Genomic DNA, 8,717 nt, shown 5'->3' on the forward strand with positions numbered 1-8,717 from the left:
GTAAATGATAAATAATAATAAAAATAATGATAAAAGTAATAGTTGATGTAATAGGATGTTAAAGTGGAAGTTTTAACCAAGGCACCAAAATGCAGTAAATATACCACATCAAAGTAAAATATCAATCTAATTTTCAATGAAAATAATCCAGGAACCAGTTATTGAACTCTTAAGCATCTTGTTCCATTTGAAGACAAAAAATAATCAATTCATGGGAAATTAAAAGGATTCCAGAAATACTTCTTTGCCAAAAGTTGCTGATATACTATGAGTACTATCAAGATGGAAGGGTTTGGGGTGCTCCTTGTATATCCAAGTTAAGGGAGAGGGACTCTAGTGAGACTACTCAGAGAATGAAATAAGCACCCCCTGAAGTTGGAGGAGAAGGAGGATACAATGAATTGTATCTGATCCCATCTGAGAAATCTATGAGGAGAGGTAGGCTGTGTAGCTACTGATGAATGAGTAGAAGAAATGTCTGTGTGGGGGTGGCCTGCACTCCCAGAATTTATGGAGACAAGAAGACCTGAGTAATTTCATGGGCCAGGTGTGGACCATGGGGGAGAAACAACCAGCCTGAGGTCTTCTTGGGACCTGTCCACCTGGGCCAACTGAGAGGGTGGATAGGCCTCAGCAGAGAGAAGCTGATGGTAGCAACATATTCCTAGGGACCACAGAATGGGAAGGCAGCCAGCTGGAAGCAAACTCATCATTCTTGTCAAGGGAAATATAGGTGGGAAGTCCCAAGGGGTTGGAGGATACACCGAAGAACCCATGCAAACATCCATGAGAGAAAGAGCCTCTTGTTAGAGCTGCCAGATTCAGAAAACACAAAACTGGTCAATCATGAAATAACTTTCCTACCCACTTCTGCTACTCCTTCCCTCTGTCTGAACCCTGAAAGTGTGAGAGACCATAGAAGATACCAGAAGACAGGCAGCAGGATAAGATGGAGAAATAACATGGAAAAAGAATAACTTGAACCCAATACACCTTCCCCAAGAGTGGGCTTCCCAACAACAGCAGGTTCTAGCTGAATAGAGGAGAGGTAAAAGGCTTAATTGTAAATCACGTTCAAAGTTTTGTTTCTCATCTGGTCTTGGATATTCTTGTTTTTGAATTGACACTGTGTTTGCCACTCAAGGTGACTCTGGGACTTGTTATGACCTAAGGATGTTCAGAAGATTTGTGGGACTCCCAGAGCTTCCATCCAGGAGCAGGGGAAAAGAATTCTCCACTGAATAAAGCTTAAAGGGTCAGGAGATGATAAACACTTGCCTGGTGATGCTAGCCCTGCATGCTCCATGCTCCACGTACCGATGATGCATTAACATTGCCAAGCACAGTGCTGAACACTTTATTGCATTATATCAGTTAAACTGCAGATGCTGCCATAGAAAGAAAACACCAAACAAATAAAGCACATGCAATAGACTCCAATTTGAGTGTTTATGTTTGAATGTGTATATTTGAATATGTCCAGAGAAACAATGGGAAGGTGTGTTAGTCAAGGTTCTCTAAAGAAACAGAAACAGGATGTGTATATATGTAGAGAGAGATTTATTTTAAGGATTGACTCATACGATTGTAAGGCTTGGAACATTCAAAATCTGATGAAGAGGCTGGCAGGCTGGAGACCCAGGCCAGAGCTGCAGTTCCAGACCAAAGGCCACCTGAGGACAGAATTCTAGAAGGTGGTGGAATCTTGCATGGTCAGTATTTGTTCTCTTCAGGACTTCAGTTGATTGGATGCAGCCCACTCACTTTATGAAGGGCTTTGTGTATTTATTTTTATTTTTGGAGAAAATAAGCTTTATTATAATGATTTGAGATTTTGTGCATGGTAAAGAGATACACATGAATCGTGTTTCTCCTATGTTTCATGACAGAATTAATTTAAAGTTTCACTGCAGACCAAAGCATCCAAAAAACAGTGGTACTTTTTTTTTTTTTTTTTTTTTTTTTGAGACAGAGTGTTGCCCTGGAGTGCAGAGGCACAATCTTGGCTCAATGCAACCTCTGCCTCCCCGGTTCAAGGGATTCTCCTACCTCAGCCTCCCAAGTAGCTGGACTACAGGCACGAGCCACCATGCCCAGTTAATTTTTCTATTTTTAGTAGAGATGAAGTTTCACCATGTTGGCCAGGCTGGTCGAAAACTCCTGACCTCAAGTGATCCGCCCCTCCTTGGCCTCCCAAAGTGTTGGGATTACAGGTGTGAGCCACCATGCCCAGCCCCACAGTCTCTTTTTAATGAGTTTGCAGATGCCAGACAATTCCTGCTCTGGTGTTGGCGGCATCAGGGACAGTGAGCTTGAGCTTTCCACCCCCAAGGGCAGCATGGGGAGTGGCAGGTGCAGGAATTCCAGCATGCTGCTCTGCTTGTTCCTCTTCATTCCCTTCATGTCCAGTATCTTCCGGAAGGCTTCTGTGTTGCAGTCTGTGAAGAGTTTGATGTAGTTGTCAACTAATACCACCAACAGTTCCTGAGGGGCTGTCACTACCTACCAAGGGAGGAGACAAGAGCAGGCCTGCCAAGGAAAACTCACAGTTGCAGTTCACCAATTTAAATGCTAATCTCATCCCCAAAAAACACATTTACAGAAAACATCCGTAATAGTATTTAACCAAGTATATGGGCACCATGGTCCAGTTAAGTTGACACATACAATTAACCATCCTAGAAGGATACACACTAAACTATGGACAGTAAGTGGGTATCGTCGGGGCAGGGACAGAAAGTGAAAGGATAGCTAGGCGTGGTGGTGCACCTGTGGTCCCAGCTACTTGGGAGGCTGAGGTGGGAGGATCACTTGAGCCTGGGTGGTTGAGGTCTCAGTGAGCCGTGATCGCACCACTGCACTCCAGCCTGGGTGACAGAGCAAGACCTCGTCTCAAAAAAATAAAATAAATAAATAAACAAAAATGAAAGTAAAAGTGAAAGGAAATTAGGTGTACTTTTCACTTCTTGCTCTCTCTCTCTCAGAATACATTATTCACCCTGAGACCTGAGGAGTGGGGAAGTGTACTACTCCTGCTGCATGATAGACAACCCCACCCTGACCCTTCCCCAGCTTCTCTCTGACACTTTTCTAGCCAGGCTTCTCTGCACAAGGCCAGGAGCTTTCAGTGTCAACAGTACATGCTTACCCTGAGTCCTTGGCCACAATATTAGACTGTGTTTCAGGCACCCGGGACTCCAGAATGCCCTGTCCAGGGTCCCAGAGCCTGTGCATGGTGCCTTCCCAAGTCAACCTCTCAAGGGCAGCTGCATCCCCACCAGTGTGCACACCCCCAGCCCTAAGAAGTGACAAGGGGCAGACGTTTGTGGGGCTGAAGTCCGGGGGAGTTGAGGATAGAATTGAATGTGCAGACTGGGTTGCCACACGTGTGTGCCCAAGGCCCTTGCAGTGGGAAGGGAAGATGAGGTGAGGGCATGGGCCAGGGCCAGCTCTCTCTACCATGCCATATTTTGATGAAGAACTCTGGAGAGTCTAAGAATTCCTCATTTAAATCCCATCTTCCAATTCTCTAGGACTGTATATTTGTCAAGGTAAAAGGATATGTTGAGAAAATATAATTCTAAACAAAATCTTCTTCCAAGCCAGAAACCCTCTCCACAAAGGTAGCAGAGAAAATAGTTTTATTACGAATAAACTATTAAACCAAAATGTGATGCACATCACAGGCAGTCCACTAAGGAATTACAAAGACAGAAAGAAATTCCAGCCTTTAATATAGCCAAGAAGATACAACCCATTATATACCTTTTCCCAAGATAAACAAAAATTAGTTCTCAAATAACACATAGTTCGTCCTAAATTCACCTGGTAATTGGCGTAACCATCTGTATTAGTTAAATGATTTTATACAAAGGAAAATAAGCTTCTCCTATCTTTATGACAGAAGGTAATTTTGCAAGTTGTGGCGGGGAGGCAATCACCAAAGTTAGGCTCCTACCGTCCCTCAGAAACTGAGAGATGGGGTGCTATCTCCCTCAATGATTATATTCTAAAGCAATGGCTGCCAGGTCCTTGAGAAAGACATTCCTGGGTCACAAAGACAGCAGAAAACTTATTTAGCTCTAAAAACATTTACGTACATGTCAAAGAGGGAAATAACTTACAAGTACACATTTTCTAAAGTAAATACTCTAAGAAAAGTGAACGAAGGTAATTTCTTCCCTTATTTTTAACAAGAATTAAGCCTCTTATTTTTAATATTTACTTGCCCTTACAGATAGGACATATTTTACTTGATAGTTTGTTACCTTATCTTGTAACATGCAGATATGTAGACACGCTATATGTGGATCTCTGTTTGTTTTCTTGACAGGACCTGCAAATGTTAGAAGCTGGCTTTTTCTTTTCTAAAAACAGTGATATATTTGACAAATTTCAAAATGATTTTTAAAATTTTATTTTAAAGGAACAGATATACATTAGCTATTTTTAAAAAACAGTCATTTGTTTTCATTGTTAATTCAGTTGGCTTTCTCCTATCACCCTATGGGTTCATATTTTAAATGTGCTTTGCATATGCACAAAGAAGATATGAATCATGTTAGTTGTAGAAACTGCTGGCCATCTTTATCTGCTTTAATGGGTCTGCCCAAGCAAATACTAGTTAATTTTCCTCTTAACGTGACATTGCAGGTGTCACTCTTTGATACTGAAAATTTTATTTTAAAATGTGTCCTTCAGGTAAAGAAGCTAGTTTGAGGATGCAGTAACCCAAAGCTAAATACTGAACATGTGGTAACAAGATTGCAAAAATGGAAACCAGGAAATCCAAATTCTAATACCAGTCTTGCCACTAATCATTAGTGTGTGACCTTCAATTATGGATTCTTTTGGAGTCTCAGTGTCTTCATCTGTAAAATCAAACAAGTGGACTAGAGGTTCCTTCAGACACAAAATTTTCTTGGCATCTTTTCAGATATCTTTTCTCCTTCTTACTCTTTCCCTGTTCTCACTTGTTTTTGTTTTTTGGTTCATTTTCACCGTCTCTATGTGGCCTATATCTGTGAGGATATAGGGTGAGTGAACAGACCTTTAGCTCCAAACAATCGGTAATTAAACTCAAACCTCTACCCGAAGAGTTCAAGACATTCTATTTCTGTGCAGAAAATAAAACAGAAAACCAGCAGTTAAGTCAAGGTCTCCTTTGTATTTCTTCGTCTTTATCAGTCCTGACAAGGTCTTGTTAGCAAACCCTCATCCTTATTTTCCACCTCCAACTCTACACCTTCAGTTAAATCCCTCCTTTCCTTTGCAGTTTCCATAGTTAACATTCTCCAGGATTTGTTTTTTTCAATGTATCCTCCTTAGATGACTCTTCTAGAAGTTTTGTTTTTTTGTTTTTTTGTTTTTTTTCAGATGGAAATGTAGTCCACAATTCTTCCCAAGGCAGTGGCTGATTCAGGCTTCAACATAAAAAATCCACTATCACTATAATCTGTTAATATAATGTATTAATTCACAGACTTGCTGTTTTACCTCTTTTCACATAACTCTTATTGCTATGTCCATCTGAACTTGGTTGCTTGTTGGCTTTCTTACAATCCATGGAAGGATGTAGGACTTAGCTATTTAATTCACAATATGCAGCTTGTCATGCACGTATGGGTGCTTCATTCATAATGATTCTTTAATTCATTGTCTCAAGTGTTTCCATATCCTTATTCTTGCTCTGATCACTGAAATATGGGTTGGGTTTCTTTTTTTTTTTTTTTTTCTTTTTCATTCTTTTCTTAACCTGTTTTTATCTAAGGAGTATGATTCTGCAGGGTGTACAGGAAGCATGGTGCTGGCATCTCTTCTGGTGAGGCTTCAGGAAGCTTCCAATAGTGGTAGAGGGCGAAGGGGGAGCAGTCGCATCAAATGGCGAGAGCAGGAGCAAGGGAGGGCAGTTAGCTATTTATTTTATAAGGGAGGAAGCTGAGGCTAGCAATCACTGAGCAACTTGCTCAGGGTCACACAGGAAGTTAGCGAGAGAATTGCAGCAAGAACCTAGTCCTCCTGATAAAGCTTGGCTCTCTTTCCATTGGTTTATGCTGCTTCCCATTCACTCGGGTTGTTTACTCTAATTTCAGGCAAGTTTGACTTATCTCAACAAGTCTTGCTATGGCCTAGGAGTTAAACAGCAACAAGGATCTCAAAGAAAACTGAATGTAGAATTTAGATACTTCAAACTTGGAAAAAAAAAACTCACGTTTTTAGTACATAATCATTGTGTAAGAAGCGAGTCTTCAATCAATATGTCAGAAGATGTCATTTTGCACTTCCAGAGTTAAAGATTTTTTACTGCCATGACCCCTCCCTCCTCCCCATGACAGCTTCCGGATTCCTATAAAGCCCTAGCACCTCACATTCCCCCAGCCACTTCTAACTCTGCCTTCCTCTTCTTCTAGCTCTCCACTTCCCTCACTCTGCACCTCCTGGGTTTTCCTCTGCTCCACACCAAGCCAAACATGAAACTCATCTTCACACTCAAAGCTGGCTTTGTGCATAGCAGACTTTACTAAGGCTGCCTTTTCCCCTGGGATCAGCTCCCCTTCCTATTTCTCTTTGCCCTGCTCTCTCTCTCTCTCTCTCACACACACACACACACACACACACACACACACACACATACACACACATACATACCTCCTCCTACCTTCCTGAGTTTCTGTTCTCTAGCCCCCTCCTCTCACACTCAATTCTTTTATTTTATTATGCAAAGCAATTTAGGTTCCACCCACAACTCAGCTGCTACCTTTGTATATCCCAGGCTTTGCAAGGCCTGCTCCGGGGCCCACACTTGAACAGCATGAAAGAAAGGGTAAAAACTTTATAATTTTCATTTTTTTCTTTCTCCCAGCAGTGAAAAGGCATAGTATAGAGATTCATTTTCACACTGTATCAATTCAGATGATTTCACCTGTAACTAATAGGAAACCAAAATCAAACTGATTTAAACAAAAAGAGGTTATGGAAGGAGTTTATTATAGAGTTTGGGAGGTTTTGGAATTGACTTCAGGACACAAGCTGTCTCTTTTTCGCTCTGTCATCCTCAGCTTACTGGCTGTCCTGAGAGCTGTCCCTTTATGGTCAGAATATAGCTTTCATCGTTCCAGAAATCAGTGTAGACACAACAATGTCAGGCAGAAAAACACAGACATGTCCTCCCTTGAGTCGCTTTTTATCTGTAAGGGAAGGCCATTCAGTATCTCACTGACTGTGACTGGGCCCCGTGTATCCCCCTAAAATAGTTTGGCAAAAGAATGGAATTATTAAGAATGGTTTACACCTATCATGACTCACTTCCAGGACTGAGAAGATGTTTTTTCCTGAGCACATTGGTTACGGTTGTCTATTATTATACAACAAAGTGTTAACCGGTAGAGGGTCTTGACCGCAAGTTGTCCAGGTTCTTGGCGTTTTAAACAAAGAATTGGACAAAACGCCCAGCAAAGCAAAGACAGAATGAAGCAACAAAAGAACGAAAGCAGGGATTTACTGAAAACAAAAGTACACTCCACAGTGTGGGAGCTGGCCCAGCAGCGGCTCAAGGACCCCTAAACAGAATCTTCTCAGGTCCAAATATCCCCTAGAGGTTTCCCATTAGCCACTTCATGCTCACCTCATGGAAATGAAGTGGTGGCCTACAATTGGTCTGATGGGTTGCCAAAAGCAACCAATCAGAGGCTGAAGTGGAGTTACAAAGGTCACACTCCTGTGCAAACATCTGATTGGTTGCAAAAAAGTAACCAATCAGAGACTAAGGTGAAGTTACAAAGTTGCGAAAAAAGACTCTACCAGCAATCAGTCTGATTGGTTGTGGATAGCCAATTTCCCATCTGGGAAAGGTGAGGGGTTTGCAAAGGGAGTAGCCTCCGGTCCTTTTGTTACTTAGTCGCGGAAAGTTAGGGTTTTCCCTTCAGTTTAGTTCCGGGAAGTCGGCATGAAACAGCCTTAGGTTCCCTACCTCCAGATCCTATTCTCCTGCCTCAAAACCACCCAAACACTTAGTGCCTTAAAGCAATTTACTATGATATCTCATAGTTTTGTGAGTTACCTGAGCTCAGCTGGGCATTGCTTGGCTTCCTTCTGTGGCTGCCATCAAATGACTGGGGCTGGAGTCTTCTGTAGGCTCGGCTGGGCTGGCTGTTCCCCAAGATGGCCTCCTTGCTCACACATCTAGTCCTTCAGTGCTTGTGCACGTGGCCTCTCTCTTAAGTGGAGTGGTCTAACCTTCTTAGCAGGTAGCTCACGGCTCCCAAAGACAGGAAGCAGAAACTCCATTCCTCTTGAATGCCAAGCCTGGAGCTGGCTATACTCTCTCATGCCATATACTTCTGCAGTATTCTATTGGTCAAACCCAGTCCAGCCCAGATTGTAGAGACTCCACTCCTCAATGGGGGAGTACAGGGAGGGAAGGAATCCATGGCAGCCATCTTTGGAGTCAGGTTACTGTAGGATTGCTGACCGACATTCAAATAAAATCAGCATCCTGTTGGACAAGGAAAGAGCAGAGAAATAGCTGTTGAGCAAACAACCACGTTAGCTTTTGTTTTGCAAATTGGGTCTGAAGAGATGACGCAGGTTTGTAATCCGGCCTAATCATGGGGCCTTCCTGTGAATCTCAACCAGAATAGCCTTCCTTGAGAGACCCCTGCAGAATCCTCTGACTTGCTCAATTGCTCACTTGGTTTTTAGCTACCATATTTTTTTTA

General features: G+C 42.3%; 1 long non-coding RNA gene across 1 annotated transcript, besides 1 other annotated feature; it reads right to left on the reverse strand.

The window, feature by feature from the left end:
- Window positions 441-637: a silencer, noted in NCBI's record as "fragment chr18:23531372-23531568 (GRCh37/hg19 assembly coordinates)". NCBI's record gives its function as "represses an EF-1alpha promoter that drives an FKBP-Casp9 reporter gene in an ReSE screen in K562 erythroleukemia cells {active_cell/tissue: K562}" and the evidence as "EXISTENCE:reporter gene assay evidence [ECO:0000049][PMID:32094911]".
- On the reverse strand, window positions 6,966-8,488 carry LOC124904271 (uncharacterized). The gene is made up of 2 exons (XR_007066319.1): window positions 8,060-8,488; window positions 6,966-7,187 (listed from the first exon to the last, which is right to left on the reverse strand). It is a non-coding gene; the product is annotated as an uncharacterized LOC124904271 (long non-coding RNA).
- Window positions 8,489-8,717: the final 229 nt, after the last annotated feature.

This window comes from Homo sapiens, chromosome 18 (genome assembly GCF_000001405.40).
Source record: "Homo sapiens chromosome 18, GRCh38.p14 Primary Assembly".
NCBI classification, from domain to species: Eukaryota; Metazoa; Chordata; class Mammalia; order Primates; family Hominidae; genus Homo; species Homo sapiens.